Source organism: Homo sapiens, chromosome 18 (assembly GCF_000001405.40).
Source record: "Homo sapiens chromosome 18, GRCh38.p14 Primary Assembly".
NCBI lineage: Eukaryota > Metazoa > Chordata > Mammalia > Primates > Hominidae > Homo > Homo sapiens.
The window spans coordinates 2,840,724-2,859,581 of NC_000018.10; the positions used below are offsets into that span (position 1 = coordinate 2,840,724).

Below are 18,858 nucleotides of genomic sequence, written 5' to 3' on the forward strand. Positions count from 1 at the left end.
TATTTTTGTCAGTTATTTCTTATGATGAAAAAAATGTGTTCAAAACCATACCATAACTGTGTCAGCGATGACATCTCAAATGTAGTGTATGGTATACTGTTAACTGTAGAAAGTATTCTTAGATCTAAGAAACATCTGAAAAAAATTAAGGGATATGGAAGGAGTAACTAATTTCATCTTTTTGAAGAAGATCTTCACTGTCGAATTGCCTGATGATCTGAATTTATTTACGCAGCATTATCAATCTCTCGAAGAACTCACTGCCTTGTTCTAAAATAAAATCCTTCGCTGTATAGAGGATAAATCTTCTAAACAATAAGCTGAGCTACATGCTTTATCTGGGGAGCAGCAGAAAGAAAACTGGGCTAGAAGTCAGTATTCTTGTTTTTCTAGACAAAGTCTTGTTCTGTCACCCAGGCTGGAGTACAGTGGCACCATCTCGGCTCACTGCAACCTCCACCTCCCAGGTTCAAGTGATTCTCCAGAGTAGCTGGGACTACAGGCACCCACCACCACACCCAGCTAATTTTTTGTATTTTGATTAGAGATGGGGTTTTGCTATGTTGGCCAGGCTGGTCTTGAACTCTTGCCCCCACGTGATCTGCCCACCTCGACCTCTCAAAGTGCTGGGACTACAGGCGTGAGCCCCTAAGAGCACAGTATTCTATTCTGGACAATCGCACTTAGGGCTATTCTGATTGAGTTATACACATGCACTCTTTACACTTCATGTTTGGAAGGAACTGCAGTAGATGGTCAGCTTCCATGTTGACTGGCAAACAAAAGGAATGATAAAGCCCCTGAACCTGACTCCAAATTTGTTATTGTTACTGATGTGGGTATGTCAATAACAATGGTAAATATTCACCCTCCGTTCACTGAGTGCCAGGCACGATGTTAACAGTTTACATCTGGCAATGCAATGAATCCTCCCCACAGCCAGATGAGTGATTCCAATTTTCAGAGAAGAACATGGAACATAGAGGGGTGTATTGTTTGTCCAAGATCATTCAGCTAAGTGGGTGAGGGTGCCATATTTTGAACAGTACACTAACTCTACTGCATGAATTCTGAAAACCCTTTTTTTCCATGTGATTTCAATTTTTCACAGTTTTGAAACTCTCAGGTGATAGTGTAAAACGTATGAAGGTACACACCCCTAATCAATATAGAAACATTTCCTCCCCGTATCTCTCATGAAAGATGATTAAAATAATGGCCATAGTCCTTGAGAGTATCATCTAATCAGTCAGTTGATAAGGTCTGTCTTAGGTTCAAAGGACAAGGAGATTTTTGACTTCTTAGCTTTGTATCGCAAAGGAGATATTTACAAATAAGTAAGTTAAGAAAAACTGAAGAGGGCAAGTGTTCTTTGTTTTGATTTCATTTGTTTGATCAAAGCTTTTGACAAGACAAGAAAGCAGCTGTTATTTATAAATTTTGAAGTCTGGAGACTCACTGAATTTGTTCTGGGTATGGGGGAGGTTACATGGGTTTAATGGTTTTTAAATTTATTTGGGGGGAATAAGGGTTGTCTTTGGGTACACTACAGCGATGGCTATTGAGGAGTATCCTGAGGCATGGGGGTCAGGGGTTGAGGTCTTGGTAAGTGTTTTAGTGGGGTTAGCGATTCTGGTACAGTGGCTTGTGCCTGTAATCCCAGCACTTGGGAGGCCGAAGCAGGTGGATTGCTTGATCTCAGGAGTTCCAGACCAGCCTGAGCAACATGGGGAAACCCTGTCTCTACTGAAAATACAAAAACTAGCTGGGTGTGGTGGTGTGCACCTGTAGTCCCAGCTACTCAGGAGGCTGAGGTGGGAGGATCACCTGAGCCCAGGAGGTCAAGGCTGCAGTGAGCCCTGATTGTACCACCGCACTCCAGCCTGGGTGACAGACCCAGACACTATCTCAAAAAAAAGAAAGAAAAAAAAATTGTTCTGAAGGTCCCTCTCCAACATAATGCCTATTTCAAATGGAGCTAAACAAAATTGTATTGCCCATATCCTGGCATTCCAGAACACAGAACAGGCTAGATGCTGCAGCCAGTTCATTTTTCTTGGGGATGTTTCTCTTTCCCTATTAAACTCATTGTTTTTAAAAGAAAGAAGGGTGTCTTTTATTCAAGATATCTAGTCTTCAAGAACTTTGTTTTTCCATCATTAAATAAGCAGAAAAAGGAAGCAATAAAGACACCTAAAAGTACACCTAGAAATCCAGGGGACAGTTTTTTTGAACTTTTGAATTCCAGAAAGTAAAGAGCTGAGGCGGGAGGGTCGCTTGAGCCACAAGTTCGAGACCAGGCTGACAACATAGTAAGACACCTATCTCTACAAAAAAACTGATAAAAATTAGCCAGATGAGGTGGCACGTGCCTGTAGTCCCAGCTATTCAGGAGGCTGAGGCAGGAGGATTGCTTGAGCCTGAGAGGTGGAGGCTGTAGTGAGCCATGGTAGCACCACTGCCCTTCAGCCTGGGCGACAGAGCAAGATCCTGTATCAAAAAAAAAAAAAAAAAAAAAAAGGGAAGATGAGGGATCAGAAGGGCGGAAAGACAAGGCTAATCTCATGATTCTTGACCACATCCTAGATGCAAATCAGTTCATCTTGATCAAATGTCCCCTGCGCAGATGACGGGGGTGGGGCTAGGGGAAATGTATTTGCCTGCTGCCTCAGTGATAGTCACTTTCCTTTTCCAACAGGCAATGGAGGGGGCACCTGGGTGTGCTGGAGGCCCAAGAGGCTCACTGCTTCCAAGAGAACTGTCCCTAAACACGTACAGAGCCTGATGAACATCTTACGTCATGACCCACAAGTGAATAAGAGAATGGATTGTATGAAGTAGTTCTTCCTTGAATTTTTGCTTTAGGTAAGTTGGTCACACAATCAAGGGTGTGTGTCCCAAGTTACTATGGGACACTTGTTTTTAAAGCAGAAGAAATTCCTTCAGATTGTTATATAAAATATAGTTTTCAAGTGCTCACTTAAGGTACTTGGCAGCATATAAAAAATTCATACTTGCAGCTTTCTGGCAGTCATATCCACGTTATTGTTCATGGCAGGGATCAGAAGTCCTGCCCAATTAGTCTGTTTCTTAGTGTGCTGAAGCTCTCTATCCTCCGGAAGCTTCCCTCTGTCTTGTTTCTTATGCAGGGCTCTCTGGTTCCTGAGTTTGTTGCATCCCTTCCTCCAGCTGGAGTAGAGAAAACAAAGAGGGTCTCTTGGGATCTTGGCCTCAAATCAAGAAATAACCTTGTGGCTGGGCACAGTGGCTAATGCCTGTAATCCCAAGACTTTAGGAGGCGAAGGCAGGAGGATTGCTTGAAACCAGGAGTTCAAGATCAACCTGGGCAACAAAGTTAGACCCCCCCGCCCATCTCTACAAAAAATAAAAAATTAGCTGGGCATGGTGGTGTGTGCCTGTACTCCTAGCTGCTTAGAAGACTGAAGTAGGAGGATCACTTGAGCCCAGGAGTTGGAGGCTATAGTGAGCTGTGATGGTATACAAAAAATCAGCCTGTTATGGTGGTGTGCGCCTGTAGTCCCAGCTATTCAGGAGACTGAGGCAGGAGGATTGCTTGAGCCCAGGGATATCGAGGCTGCAGTGCACCATGATTGCACCACTGTACTGCAGCCTAGATGAGAGAGCAAGACTCCATCTCAAGAGAAAAAAAAAAAACAAAAAAGTAAAAGAATGGAATAATAGGCCGGGCACAGTGGCTCATGCCTGAAATCCCAGCACTTTAAAAAGCCAAGACAGGAGGATGGCTTGAGATTAAGTGTTCAAGACCAGCCTGGGAAACGTGGTGAGATCCCATCACTACCAAAAATTCAAAAAATTAGCTGAGTGTAATGGCACACACCTGTGGTCTCAGCTACTCAGGAGGCTAAGGTAGGAGGATTGCTTGAGCCTGGGAGGTCGAGGCTGCAGTGAGCCATGATCATGCCACTGGACTCCAGCATGGGTGACAGAGTGAGACCCTTTCCCCCAAATAAATAAATAAAAATACAAAAGAGGGAAGTAACCTTCTGAAAGTCAAGAATGTTCTGTCTTCCAGGGGCAGACCCACAATAACATACATGGGCTTATGTCTAGAGAAAGACATGCAATAAACATTAGCTCACTTAGTTGACTGTCCATCAGGAACGCTAACACCCTTCATTGCATGGCAATGCCTGGAAGCTCTCCAAACACAAGCCCCGTGTCAGTTTGGGCTCACTCATGAATCCTCAGTATTTTTGCACAATGCCTAGCTTGTAACAGATGCTCAGAATGAAATTTATTTACCAATAAATGTTATTGATAGCTGATTAAATATAGTATTGTGGTCATCTCAATGACAAGTTGGCCCTTATACTCTTAGACAACTTCCTATTATAACTTTGATTTGACGGAAAAAACAGATTGACTTGATCAGTTCAATGCACTTTCAAGTTTGAGATTTACCTGTACCAGACACACATTGGAGTTGTTCTCTGCTAATTGTAGACACACACAACTTGTGTGTTTCCCCCATTTCCCCCCCTCTTCCTCTTCTTCATTTCTATACTCTGTTTCTACTCTATGAGTCTTTACGGCCAAGATGGTGTTAGGACAGGCAGGATAGGGAAGTCACACAGAAAGATACAGATTGGGTTACGAAAGACAGCTTTTTATCCCTTTCTGTTATTTCCCCCCCACGGTGGCTCTTTTGAAGGCTGGGATGACTTCAGTCCACTATTTGCATGATCTTCCGCTTAAGAGTCCAGGGACAGATGATGTCCTTACATGGTATAATGTTCTGCTTGGCCCTTGTAGTTTCTACTTAGGGACTTCTCTTTCTTTCATCTGCAAATCAAAAGGTCCAACAACACCATCAAAGAATATTAGAAACAAAATAGACCAATGGCTTCATTTAGTAAAGTAGGAACATAGCAAACGTTTTTATTTTTTATTTTTTGCGACAGATTTTCACTCTTTTTGCCCAGGCTGGAGTGCAGTGGTGAGATCCCGGCTCACTGCAACCTCCATCTCTCTGGTTCAAGCGATTCTCCTGCCTCAGCCTCCCAAGTAGCTGGGATTACAGGCATGTGCCACCGTGCCCGGCAAATTTTTTTTTTTTTTTTGTACTTTTAGTAGAGACGGGGTTTCTCCATGTTGGTCAGGCTGGTCTTGAACTCCCGACGTCAGGTGATCCACCCGCCTCGACCTCCCAAAGTGCTGGGATTACAGGCGTGAGCCACCCCGCCTGGCCCATAGCAAAGCTTTATTCACTTAACGAGTCATGGCCAACAGCGTCTGGTTAGCTCACAGAGGCCACAGTTTTATCTGTGGAGTCTGGTAACCACGCCACTCACGACCCTGTACATTGATTAGATGCAGCAGGTCATCTCAAACACACAGCTCTCTCCAACACCCCTTAGAATACAACACTTGGGTGGTGATTTTACTTAACATTCTGGTACTTCATCCCAAAAAGACATCGGTAGAGATTAGTGTAACTCAACAACAGGCAGAAAACATACAAGAAAGTTTAAGACGGATGTCTAGCAGTGCCTGAACTGTTAAGAAGCAAACGTGAGTAAATGCCTTAGTTTCAATAGAAAAAGAAAGTTCACAGTGGGACCTCAGAAGCAGAGGCTGTGAGATCACCTTTCAAGAATTGGAGGAGAATTGCAGTAAGTGATAGAGCCGGACGCTGAGCTGCAGCAGCCTCTGGGAATTGGCGGGGCTGTGGCTTGTCCTGTCCTGCCGCCCCCCGCGTGGCCTCGGAAACTGTCAGATGGTGCCTAAGGCAGAGTTGGGCAAAGAAAGAACCAGCGTTCGTTTCCTCCTGGACTCTCTAGGTCCATGGAGCTGGTGGGGGAACGGCCCTGTCTTGCCCGAGGAGGAAATTCGAGTCGAGCCCCCACTCCTCTCCCCGCGGGACTGATAAACATGTCCCTCATTCGCCCCGGGAGGCTGGCACCCAGGCACGACGCGAGGACGGCCAGACTCGCCGACGGCGGCCGCGTCCCGGGGGGCCGGGAGCGAGCCTGTCGGAAGGTGGGAGGCGGAGTCGCTCGGCATCTGGGAAGAGACCAAAGGAATGAGTCATTGGAAATGCTGTAACGTAGACCCTTATCCCAAACCCTTTCGCCCCTCCACCCCGAGCCCCCTGCCGAGAAGCGAAGGGACTGGAGACGGGGAGACTTGGTGGGGGGAGAGTCACGTTTCGGAGAGGGAAGTGAAATAAAGAGGGCGGCACCCGGGGGGACCTGTGCGTCATTGAGGGACCGGGGAGAAGCGCAGGGCGCACGGGGCTGCAGAAGGAGAAGTAGGAACGAGAAGCCGGAGGGGGCGGCCGCGGAGCACTGGTTGGAGCGCCGCGAAGCGCCCGAGCCTCTTGCCTTCGCGGGCGGCGCCCTGGCCGCCGGCAGCCTTGTGGCCGGTGCCCCGATCCGCCGCGCTCCGGACCCGGGCAGGCGGGGCGCGCCCGCTGCGCGCGGGATGTGGCAGCCCAGACGGCCCTGGCCCCGCGTGCCCTGGCGCTGGGCGCTGGCGCTGCTGGCCCTGGTTGGCGCGGGGCTGTGCCACGCCGGCCCGCAGCCCGGGTATCCCGCGCGGCCCAGCGCCAGGAACAAGTAAGTGCGCGCCCCTTGGCTGGCCCCAAACCGCCTACCCCTCCCCGGCCCCCAGTTGAGCCCCAGAGCTGCCCTGCCAAAGACGACGAGCGGCAGCCGGGGGCCTCCCTTGGACTTCCCCGGGCGGCTCCCTCTGCGGGGGACCGCGCGCTCCGCAGCCGGCGCCTCAGGCAGAGCTGACTCCGGGGGCGTGGGCGCAGAGAGCGTCCCGCAGACCCGGGCGATCCGAAAACGACTCCCAGGAATTCCATGAGCCCCTGGGACCATGGGTGCTTTTCTTTCCCGTCTTGGTCGGGTCCAGGCGCGCGCTCTCCAGAGGCGCACCCGGGCACCCTCCGGCGTCTGCTCGGTGAAGCTCCCGCCTCCGCAGAGGGCGACGGGCCCCCCCGACCCTCGCTCGGTCTGGTGCCGCAGTCCCCTCTCCCCTGGCCTCATTGTTCTCCGGGTTTACCCCGTGCCCCTCTCCCTCTCTCTCCTGCACCCCAGGAACTGGTGCGCCTACATCGTGAACAAGAATGTGAGCTGCTCCGTGCTGGAGGGAAGTGAGAGTTTTATTCAGGCTCAGTACAACTGTGCCTGGAACCAGATGCCCTGTCCGTCGGCGCTGGTGTAAGTCCTGGAGCCGGGGAGCGGGCGGGGCGCGCCCGGGCCGGGGCGGTGGGGGTGGGGTGGGGTTGCTGCGCTGGGCTCCAGTCCCTCCGGTAAATCCCTTCCAGATCCGGTGAAAAGCCCGCAGCGGAAAAGCGCTCCGAGCGCTCGCGGGGCACCGGCCACGCTGGGCTATTTAGGGAGTGGGTGCTGCCCGAGTGAGTGGGGAGGATGCGCGCGCCTCGGGAGTGTGGGGTCGCGGGGGCGTAGGAGAGGATGAACAAAGCTCCCACTCCCACTTCTGTTTTCTCCCTTTCAATGTTTGTTTGTAACATAAGGCAGCTGAATCTAATTGGATCCATATTGTGTGTTCTGGGGCACACAGAAGATTCCAAAATGTATACTGCTAAAGACTATTCCGTATAGGATTCGCTGAGAGGTTTGGCTAAGTAGTGTTCTAAAACGAGTGAGTTCTGTCCGTATGTCCCCATAAAACGGAATCTTCCAGTTTTGTAGATGTCTAAGCTAAAACCTCAGGAACACTTTGCTTAAAAGTGTGGCTCCCCAGCATCCCTCCCCGCAACTTAGATTTGGAGATTCTCTAGAGATTGTGGGAGAGAATGGCCGTTAAAGACAGGGGGAAGAATTAATCATCTTTTTGCTTATAAAGATTTCCCCATCTTAAAAAAAAAAAAAAACAGGAAGCAATGCAATAAAGTACAAATGCCGTTAAATACATGACACTCATTCAATTGTCATCAGGCAAGTCTTTGGGGGTTTTGTATCAGTCTGATACCGGAAGATGGGCCAGTGTGAATAAATGGCTGTTGAGGAACACATGTGATGGCTGAAATTAATTGTTTTCCACTAAGAATAAGTTGTTTGTCTTAGAGCACAGTTGTCATTACAGCAGAGAATAGTCAGTAGGCGGATCTGTCTTTGGCAAAACCAAGGGACAGACTGGAACTTGTACTCCAGGAAACCTTATTCCAGAGAACAGTAGATGAGCCTGTAGTCTTATGGGAAGTGGTCGCTGGGTCCACCCCACGTGGGCTTCTGGAGGAGCTGCCAACAGGGTTCAGCTAATTCCTGCTCGGCAAAAACAAAGTAAAACAAACAGAAACTTAGACGAGGTCCCCATTTCCTAATATACAGTGGAAAACGCTGAAATTGAATGCCCAGCTAGGCTATCTCTTTGAGTTGGATACATTGTCAGAGAGATAAGGTACTGTCATCCAACCTTAATCTCTTAGTAAGATTGAGACCTCATCGTCTATGGCCAGCAGTCAACGACATCAGAACCAAGCAAGGTTTTTACACTGTGGGAGTGATACAAACTAAGTATTCAACTCAGTTTGAATGCATTTGTTTAAAATTAGAATTGAGTTATTAGTCAGGAATATTTTATTCATCTTATACAAGAACTGCATGGTGTGGCTTGCTATAACCTTAAAACTTACTGGTGACAATTCGGAGATAAATGAATTTTTCATTTTGGGAGGTAATGCATTTTTGTTTAAAAGATGGCTTGTTTTTATTTTCTCAAATTATTTTAGCTGCTTGGAAAACCAAAGGATGATTTAATTGTTCTATTTGACCAAAACTCAGTGAAACTTGGCTGTCAGTGGGGAGTGAATCGCCTCCAGATTGGCAGGTCAATGCAAGGCAGTGGGAGTGCATTTTTGCCACCCAGTGAGTAGGACAACAGAATTATTATAAAAAATGACAGATGTTTCTGTTGTTTTATTAAACAAAGCCAAAATAAGTGACCTGGATGTTTTATTTCAATAATAACCATATAAACAATACAAGTGCATTTTTACATTTTAAGTACTGCACTGTAAGTGTGAAGTTTAAGAAACAAAGACTGAGTTGATGAACCTGAAAATCTTGACATTAGCTTCAGCAGTAAATTCAGTCTTGACTTTTTTCAGTTTCTTTAGGGATGGAACAGAATGGTTTATCTTATTTTTCAACTGAGGAATGCTTCCTAAGATTTCTTTTTTGTTTTTTGTTTTTTGTTTGTTTTGTTTTGAGACAGAGTCTTACCATGTCACCCAAGGTGGGGTGCAGTGGCGTGATCTTGGCTCACTGCAACAACTGCCTCCTGGGTTCAAGCAACTCTCATTCCTCAGCCTCCCGAGTAGCTGGGACTACAGGTGTGTGCCACCATGCCCAGCTAATTTTTTTTTTTTTTTTTTTTGTATTTTTAGTAGAGATAGGGTTTCAACATGTTGGTAAGGCTGGTCTCGAACTTGAGCTCAGGCAATCCGCCCGCCTCAGCCTGCCAAAGTGCTAGGATTACAAGCATGAGCCACCATGTCTGGCCCCTAAGTTTTGAGAATTGGTGGATGAATGAAGACAAAGGAAGGAGCCTTCTTTTTATACTTAACAAGGAGGAATGGCTGTTTCACATGGAATTGTTCAGTGTTTTCTGAGGAATCCAGAAGCCTGAGTCACCTGGGACCTGTGGAAGGAAACCTGAGGTTCTTTTTTATTATTATTGTTTTTTAGAGACAGGGTCTCACTGTGTCACCCAGGCTGGGGTGCAGTGGCACCATCATAGTTCACTGCAACCTCTAACTGTTCGGCTCAAGCGATCCTCCTACCTCAGCCTCCTGAGTAGCTGGGATTACAAGCAGAAGTCACTGCATCCTGCTAGTTTTTTATTTTTATTTTTTTAGGGATGGGGTCTCACTATGTTACCCAGGCTGGAAAAAAACGTTCTTCAGAAACTCACTCTAGAGTGACTGAGGGATAATTTGTGAGCAGTGTTGGAAGTACAGGGCTGGAGGTTGGCCGAGATGCTGGAGATAGAAACGCATTTCTGCAGTTGAGAGTGACGGACAGGTTGGCATCACTGAGGCCTTGACATGGTTGAGCAGAGCTGAGTTCTTAGGGACAGTGGAGGGGAAGGAAGAGGAAGAGCTGGGCAAGGAGAGAGAGTGAAGCAAAGATATTGGTGGAGGAAACCCCATCTTAGAGACTCAGGAGAAGTCCTGGAGGCTTCAGGCTCCAGAAAGGCCATGGGTTAGTGAGCAGGAAGCAATTGTTTCTGCAGAAAGAGGCCATTCAGGTCAGTGGGGTGCAGGCATTGTAATTTGTGTGAGATTGAGGGAGTGAGTCATGAAGAAACTTAGTTATACAGAAAATGATATCATGGGAAAAAGGCTCTGATGGAAAAAAAAAAAAAAAGGAGCTGAATAGTAGCCAAGCAGGTAAAGAATTACTTAGAGAGAGATCGGGGCCAGGCAGGATGGCTCTTGCCTGTAATCCCAACATTTTGGGAGGCTGAGGCGGGAGGATCACTTGAGCCCAAGAGTTTGAAATTAGCCTGGGCAACATAGTGTGACCCTATCACTATAAAAAAAAAAAATAGCAGGGCATGGTGGTGCATACCTGTAGTCCCAGCTACTCGGGAGGCTGAGATAGAAGGATTGCTTGAGCCCAGGAGTTCGAGGCTGCAGTGAGCTATGATCACGTCACTGCGCTCCAGCCTGGGTGATAGAGTGAGATCCTGTCTCGAAACACAGAGAGAGAGCATTCTGCCTATCTGGGGACAGAAGTAAAGTAGCCATAGAGAGAGTGCTCCGAGACTGAGGGTGAAACCGCTGGGAAATGGGGTGTGATGGAGGTACTCATTTAAATAACAGGAGGAGGGCTTCTGCGCCCAGCCATGTCACTGGGCCCTGACAGCCTCCTTAGCTGTAGAGACTGACTACAGGCCGCAGGTGCCTTGTCAGAAGGATTAGACGGTGCCCTGTTTACATGTATGAAAAGCCTTAGATTCCAGATTGTGAATTTGAATATTGTTATGTGCAACCAGGAACAGAAGGGGTTTTTATATAAGTGGGCATTTTAAGTAATCACTTTTCTGATACTATAAAGTACCTTCTATGTGCCAGGCCCCATGTTAGGGCTTTCCATTCCATACATTAGTTTATTTAGTTTCTGCAACAGCCCTTCGGGTTGAATAGTATTGTCTCCATTTTACCAAGGAGGAAACTGAGATGAGCCATTCCCTAAGTTGCTTGTGATCACGTGAGGGTAGCCACTGAGCCGCCTGCTAATCCAGGGCTTTGCGGACTGCCCTCTGTCTCTATAGCAATGCAGAATGTGCCTGTTTGTTTGTCTTAGTGTGTGCTTTCGGTAGGTTGCACAGTACTCAACTACTAAGAGCATTTACACCTTCTTTCATAAAAGGCAATTCTCATATAGAAGTGTTGAGAATGCATTTCTGTGTGCATTCGCGCGTGTGCATGCATGTGCCTGCATGTGCCCTTAACCCTCTCTACTGTGGGTCATTTGCCTATGACGCATGAACTATGTCATTTTTCACACTATACAGTTTGTTGGCTTATTTTAATGAAGCACTGGCAGATTGAACGCTTAAAGTTGTTATTAGAGAGGCGAGAGTTATCGGACATACTGCATGGACCAGTGAGCTCGACCGCTTCAGGACTTCCACATGTATGTTCCCGAGCTCAGCTGCCAACATGAAACTTGTCACAGGGGAATGGTGTTAAAAGCAGGCTTCCAGAAAAAGAATTTAAAGCCCATGCCCTAATGGTTGTGATACTAGTTTTGTGTGTAAGTAATTGTGCAAAAATTCGTTTTTTCTTTTTTGAGACAGGGTCTCGCTCTATTGCCCAGGCTGGAGCGCAGCGGCACCATCTCGGCTCACTGCAACCTCCACCTCCTGGGTTCAAGCGATTCTCCTGCCTCAGCCTGCTGAGTAGCTGAGATTACAGGCCTGTACCACCACGCCCAGCTAATTTTTGTATTTTTAGTAGACACAGGGTTTCACCATGTTGGCCAGACTGCTCTCGAACTCCTGACCTCAAGTGACCCGCCTGCCTCGGCCTCCCAAAGTGCTGGGATTATAGGCGTGAGCCATTGCACCTGGCCCGCAATAATAATTCTTAACACCTATAAAGATTCACCATCACTTAGGAATTTAAAATTGGGATGTCTTCTCTCTCTGTGTCTCTCTCTAGTGCACAGGTACTAGATGTGAGGAGGGCTCTGGATCCTCCGGGCACAGGATTGCTTCAACAAAACATGATTTGTCTTCCCTCTGTAAATTCCTAAGGGTGGCTCAATAGAATCTGAGGAAGAGGAGAAGGAAAGGGGCACCATCCCCTGGGAGATAAGGAGAGGACACAGAAGGGACCTGTGGACTCTAAATAACACCTAGCTGCATGCTAGGCATTTACCATTCAGTCCTAGTTCCCAAGGTGGGTCTAAGGGTGGTTTTCCCCTCCTGAGGTAATTGTTTTACTTTATACTTCTACATTAATAAAGCCAAATCTCTTAAAAATTTCATTGTATTGGGGAATTTTCCCAATTAATCCTAAAAACCCTTGGCAGCTTGAACAGTCTGGTAGATCCTGCCACCCCCCCAGCCCTTGGGACATTCCCAGCGATCGCCCGTCAGTGTGGTGGACGCAGCCTCTGAATCTGGACTCTCCGGAGCTGCTGTAAAAGTGCAGAGGTTCTGCCTTGGTCATGGGCTGGTTTTAGGGACAGATATGTGGAGACATGGAATCGGAGTGACTTGGAATTCTTTGAGGCACTGGGCAGGTTGACATCCGTGGGATTGAGGCTGACCGCAGTGGGAATATTTCCTTAAAGTGCATCGTGAGAATGTGACGAGCCCTGCCATGTTCATTGTTTTCCATTCTTATAGCAACCCTCTGGGGTCACTACCCCCATTTTACAGGAGGGCAAGTAGTTAGGAAGCAGCAGAGCCTGCCTTCAAACCCAGGCCTGTTATTTTCAAGCCTCGCACTCCTCCCGCTCCACACCTGGCAGCCCCTGGAGGTCTCAATCCACAGCCGGGCTGAGCACCCTGAGGGTGCATGTGTGATGCCTACCGCAGCGGGTGCTGCATTGCCAGCCTCCCTGTCAGGGTGGAATGGCAGGAGGGAAGGGCCTGACATTTCTTACAGCCTCCAATACCCATTGGTAGTGTTTGGACGTACGGCTGGTAGAAAACAGCACCGTGTTTCTTCTCTTTATTGGACTGGCGTTGTTTTCTTTCATGCTTCCAAATTGTCCCATCACCTCCTGCTCAGCCTGATGGTTTTAGTATTGGGGGCTTTGGGAGGTGTCTGGTCCACAGATAGCCTGCATTGTTGGTGAAGACATCCAAGGACCCCAGAGGTGAGGCAGGATTATTCCCTCTGAGTTCACTTTGCCTCCCAACTCAGGGCTGAGTTTCTGTAGGGCCCAGAGTTTTCTCTTTCTGACACCACACACTGACTTGGGCTTATCAGCATCTGGCCACCTCCCCCCTCAGCCCCTCGAGGCCTGTGTTGTATCTTGGTGGAATTTTTCCTATTAGCTCTTTTTCTAAAAAGATCTTACCAGTCGGGGGAGGGATCTGGGTGGGGCCAACACACAGAGCCTGTGCTGCTGAGATAAGGCCTGCCAGGAATTTGCAGCAGGTGTTGAGTTCCGTGGAGTTCAGGACACCTCTAATCCTCCTCAGGTTCCGAGGGGAGCAGATGGTTGTTCAGTTGGCAGAAAATTTGTCTTATTAGGGAGTAACCTCAGCCAGGAAATGTGGCTTAAAACACACACACACACAGAACATTTGGCTGGGCGTGGTGGCTCATGCTTATAATTCCAGCACTTTGGGAGGCTGAGGCAAGAGGATCGCTTGAACCCAGGAGTTCAAGACCAGCCTGATTAACATAGTGAGACCTTGTCTTTACAAAAAATAGAATAAACTAGCTGGGTATGGTGCTACGTGCCTGTAGTCCCAGCTACTGGAGAGGCTGAGGCGGGAGGATTGCTTGAGCCTGGGAGTTGAAGGCTGCAGTGAGCCATGATTGCAGTACTGCACTGAGGCGTGGATGACAGAGTCAAAAACAAAACAAACAAAAAAACCCAGAACAGAACATGTAAGGCTGCAGGGATCGGGGGAAAGAAAATGAGGGCTTACATCTTCCAGAGCCAGTTTTCTGTTTTCTACATCTCCAGGAACAGAATAACTTTCAGTTCAAAAAGTACCTTTTGTGTATAGCTTTGGGGGAATTTTCTTTCCTTCAGCTTTTAAACAAAAGTTTCGCCATCAATTGGCTGTTAGGAGGCTTGTTCCTTGGCATCGGAGGTAACTTGGAGTCAGCTGAGGAAGACTGAGCTCGTGTCAGAGACTCCTGCACGGGAGGGCTGGAATCCCAGGCGCCCAGCCCTCGAGAGCTGCAGACTGTTGCTATTTTGAGTTTCTTTCTTTGGGTTTCCATTCCTTATGGGCCCCTTGGGGCTGCTCCCTAGAATCTCCAGACCTTCCTTTCAGGTTTCTTATTTCTCTTGTTCCTGTCTCCTTCCTAGGTTCCCAGTGGAGGAGATGCCATGCTTGCAGGGCCCTTCGGCATTTCCAGAACATTTCCACACCATTATTTTATTCTTACCACAAGTTCAGCCAGGAGACTAGGCAGGGCCGAGACTGGGGCCTTGGAAAAAGAACTTCATGCTGAGGGGCTACACTTTCTACCTTCGTCTTACACAACAGTGAATAGCATTCAAATAGGGGTAATGGCCTTACGAAAAGCAGCCTGCTTTTTGTTAGAACTTGTCTTAATTAAGCTCCGTAACTGGTCTTCCTCTGTTGATGTGTTCCACCCACGGTGGCACGTGGTATTTGAGTTAAAATCCTGAGGTAGCCGGAAAAGGGGAGGCAGGTGGGGCCAGGCTGCAGAGAACGGCAAGTGGGTGGGAACTCCATCCAGGTTGGGTGGGTGGCTGACGTGCTTCGGAAGAGGAGACAGAAGAGTTGTCCTACAGCCTGACATCTCCCACCACCAAGCTGTGTGATCACAGGCGAGTCACTTAGCCCGTCTGAGGCACACTTTCCTCACGTCTACATGACAGGGTTGTGGGGAGGAGGCCCCAGTGCGGGAACACAGCTGACAGAACTTTTAAAAATTGCGCTGTCACACTAACGTACTGCATACCCAGCAGGCACGTCTGGTGAACACTCACCGTTTTCATTGTTTGTCGGTTTGGAATGTTATTGCCTCACAGGTGATTTTATCTTTGAGGACTTTGGGTTTGAAGTTAATGCTTACGGACACATTGGAGAAAGGCTAAAATGCTCACGGTTGAAATCGTTAAATTCAGTGAATTAAGATAATAATGATGCTGGCTTGCCTAAGATGAACTTTAAGTGAAGCTCAGCCGGGCACGGTAGTATGTTCCTGTAATTCCAGCTACTCGGGAGGCTGAGGCGGGAGGATCGCTTGAGTCAAGGAGTTTGAATCCAGCCTGGGCAACATAGTGAGACCCCCCTCTCTAAAAAATAAAATAAAATTTAAGTGTAAAAAAATTAAGTGAAATTCTTAGAAATTGCACTGGAAGCCGAGCCAGCAGTGCAGTCTCTTTGGGGAAATGCACATAAGTGATTATGGTCAAAGTCAGTGCTGAAGTAGCCTGTGGGTATTTCTTACTGGTTCTGCAGGTGTCTGTGTGCCTGGAGTAGGTCAGTAAAGAAAGGTTAGCTAGATGGTGGATGTTGCTGTGAGTGGTGGTAAACTAGTGCCAATCCCCAGGTGATCTATCCCACCGCCCCTAATGTGTTCCTTGAATTCTTTTAGAAAAAAATCCTCTTCCTCGTGTGCCTAATATTGTTGTTACTAACATGTGCTGCGTGTACATAATGAAGTAGGTGCCGCATCCAACAGTTACACAGAACTTTACATCCTGTCTTTAAAAATCAAAAGCGGGGAAACCGTACCAGTGGTGAGGTTCCTTCTAGTCTCCCACACAAATGTTCTGATTTATCATTGGCCGCGTGACTTCTTTACTGCTCAGCGTTAACTACTTCCATCCTTGATGAAGTAGTTTTCTGGGCTTAAAAATAACAACAAACCACTTGATAACATGGTACAGCTGAGCATGATTTCTCCTTACAAAGAACCATTTTCCTGGGAGAATCGAGGGAGGAGCCCCTTATTTTTCAACATGACAGCAGTTCACACTGAAGGGAAAATAATGAAATGACTAAAACTAAACATGCCAGTAAGTTTTCTTCTTTCCTTCCTGTTTTAAAATGGTGATGAGGGCTGAAACAAAGTAGGGAGCATTCAAATGAGCCAAATTCCTGGTTCGAAAATGCTGTAAAAGCAAACGTTTCTGGGTGTGTCACTTAGAAGGACCCAGAAGGACTCAGCTGCCCTTTTTTTGTTCCACCTAAGAAAATATTAGAAGATGAGGGAATACGCCTAAGAATTACTCTTTGCAGTGTCAGCCTTTCAGGACAATGTATTTTATTATGTGTTTGGTTAAAGAAAAACTGTGTAGGTGAAGTTTTTTAAGTGGATCATTTCAATGGAAGAATTTGCTGAGACTTTGCAGCTTTTCCCCAACTTTTCCCATCTCTGTGCACCTTTGTGATTGCACAGGTTCTGCCTAATGCATGGCCTTCATTAGGTTATGTTTTACAGAGATTTACTCTCAGTCCATCAGAAGACAAGGCACAAGATGTTTCCCTCTTACTTGAAGTGGTTTCCCTACATCTGCTTGACAGGGATGTTGTGAGAGGATAATGAGGTAAAGACCTAAAAGTGTTTTCTAAACCATAGTGGTGACAATGCTGCTTGTTTTTCTGCTAACTGAAGCTTTTGCACATATCTTGAAACGGAGGAGGAAAGCCGAGGGGGCGATTGCGACAGAACTCAGGGCGTGGGACGAGTTTTGCAATCCAGCCCTTCTTGGGGAGAACCTCTCTCCATTAAAGCGACTCTGGCTTGCCTTTAGCCTTTGAATGAAGGACTGGGGCAGGGAGGCATGGTCAAGCCTTTCTTAATATTTCACACATTCCAGAACCTTGAGTCCGGTCTGTTGTGCTGACGATGCTCTGGCCTGGTTTATGTCAGGCATCTCTGACCTTGGAGATTTTGGGCAGCTTTCAGCAGGAGCAGCAGCCTGCTGGTGCCAGGAAGCAAGGTCAGGGCCCCCACTCCACCACGATGGGCAATGCGCCCTTTCCCATCACAACAAGTTTCATCACCTCCTGGCCACTCTCGAGATTTGCGAGTCATTCTGTTGCATTGCTGCTGAAAATAACTGGCAAGGCAAGGCACAGATCTCCTTCTCACGGCCGGTGCAGGGGGAAAGCAGAAATGCCGCTGTATCTCGTGTCTGGAACCAAAGAGCAAAGCACTTTCTAGAAACTCCTTGTCAGAATCATTACCGGAAAATGAGTAATCCCAATTAGGAAGCACTTTTTGTTGTATTTTCTTTTTTATTTTTTTTTATTTCCATAGGTTTTTGGGGAATGGCTGGTATTTGGTTACATGAGTAAATTCTTTAGTGGTGATTTATGAGATTTTGGTGCACCCATCACTTGAGCAGTATACACGGAACCCAATTTGTAGTTTTTTATTTCTCACCCACTTCCCATCCTTTTCCCCTGAGTCCCCAAAGTCCACTGTGTCATTCTTAGGCCTTTGCATCCTCATAGTTTGGCTCCCACTTATGAGTGAGAACATAATGTTTGGTTTTCCACTCCTGAGTTACTTCATTTAGAATAATAGTCTCCAATTCCATCCAGGTTGCTGCGAATACCATTAATTCATCCCTTTTTATAGCTGAGTAGTATTCCATCATATATATATATATATATATATATATATATATATATATATATATATATGTGTGTGTGTGTGTATATATATATATATATATGTGTATATATATATATGTTCCACAGTTTCTTTTTTCTCTTTCTTTTCTTTCTTCTGATTCTCACTCTGTTGCCCAGGCTCTGGAGTGCAGTGGCGCCATCTCGGCTCACTGCAACCTCTGCCTCCTGAGTTCAAATGATTGTCCCACCTCAGCCTCCCGAGTAGCTGGGATTACAGGTGCCTGCCACCATGCCCGGCTAATTTTTGTATTTTTAGTTGAGACGGGGTTTCACCATGTTGGCCAGGCTGGTCTCGAACTCCTGACCTCAAGTGATCCACCCACCCCAGCCTCCCAAAGTGCTGGGATTACAGGCGTGAGCCACCACACCCGGCCCTATACCACAGTTTCTTTATCCACTTGTTGATTGATGCACATTTGGGTTGGTTCCACATTTTTGCAATCGCGAATTGTGCTGCTGTAAATATTTACGTGTAAGTATCTTTTTCATATAATGACTTCTTTGTCTCTGGGTAGATACCCGGTAGTGGGGTTGCTGGATCAAATGGTAGTTCTACTTTTAGTTCTTTAAGGAACCCCCATGCTGTTTTCCGTAGTGGTTGGGCTAGTTTACGTTCCCATCAGCAGTGTAGAAGTGTTCCCTTTTCACCACATACAAGCCAATATCTATTATTTTTAAATTTTTTTGATTATGGCCATTCTTGCGGGAGTAAGGTGGTATCGCATTGTGGTTTTGATTTTCATTTCCCTGATCATTAGTAATGTTGAGGATTTTTTCATATGTTTTTTGGCCATTTGTACATCTTCTTTTGGGAATTGTCCATTCATGTCCTTAGCCTACTTTTTGATGGGATTGTTTGTTTTCTTCTTGCTAATTTGTTTGAGTTTGCTGTAGATTCTGGATATTAGTCCTTTGTCAGATGTATAGACTGTGAAGATTTTCTCCTACTCTGTGGGTTGTCTGTTTACCCTGCTGACTGTTCCTTTTGCCTTGCAAAAGCTCTTTAGTTTAATTAAGTCC

At 46.9% G+C, this 18,858-nt stretch overlaps 1 protein-coding gene across 5 annotated transcripts in view, besides 4 other annotated features; it reads left to right on the forward strand.

The window, feature by feature from the left end:
• Nucleotides 1,408–1,702: a silencer, noted in NCBI's record as "tiled region #3375; K562 Repressive non-DNase unmatched - State 20:ReprD". NCBI's record gives its function as "represses a minimal TATA promoter and a strong SV40 promoter by Sharpr-MPRA in K562 cells {active_cell/tissue: K562}" and the evidence as "EXISTENCE:reporter gene assay evidence [ECO:0000049][PMID:27701403]".
• Nucleotides 5,509–18,858, forward strand: part of EMILIN2 (elastin microfibril interfacer 2) — a 69,772-nt gene continuing 56,422 nt past the window's right edge. For 4 of the 5 annotated variants that reach the window (XM_047437884.1, XM_047437886.1, XM_047437885.1 and 1 more), the window contains exons 1-2: nucleotides 5,509–6,083; nucleotides 7,086–7,208. In XM_047437884.1, coding sequence (XP_047293840.1) covers nucleotides 5,827–6,083; nucleotides 7,086–7,208 — 380 coding nt within the window. In that variant the 5' untranslated portion in view covers nucleotides 5,509–5,826. Of the gene's footprint in view, nucleotides 6,084–6,282; nucleotides 6,600–7,085; nucleotides 7,209–18,858 lie in introns of those variants that run through there. The other variant, NM_032048.3, reaches the window with a different exon arrangement.
• Nucleotides 6,501–6,550: a silencer, noted in NCBI's record as "silent region_9248". NCBI's record gives its function as "represses an Ori minimal core promoter by ATAC-STARR-seq in GM12878 lymphoblastoid cells {active_cell/tissue: GM12878}" and the evidence as "EXISTENCE:reporter gene assay evidence [ECO:0000049][PMID:35858748]".
• Nucleotides 7,171–7,260: a silencer, noted in NCBI's record as "silent region_9249". NCBI's record gives its function as "represses an Ori minimal core promoter by ATAC-STARR-seq in GM12878 lymphoblastoid cells {active_cell/tissue: GM12878}" and the evidence as "EXISTENCE:reporter gene assay evidence [ECO:0000049][PMID:35858748]".
• Nucleotides 13,428–13,722: an enhancer, noted in NCBI's record as "tiled region #4434; K562 Activating DNase matched - State 5:Enh". NCBI's record gives its function as "activates a minimal TATA promoter and a strong SV40 promoter by Sharpr-MPRA in K562 cells {active_cell/tissue: K562}" and the evidence as "EXISTENCE:reporter gene assay evidence [ECO:0000049][PMID:27701403]".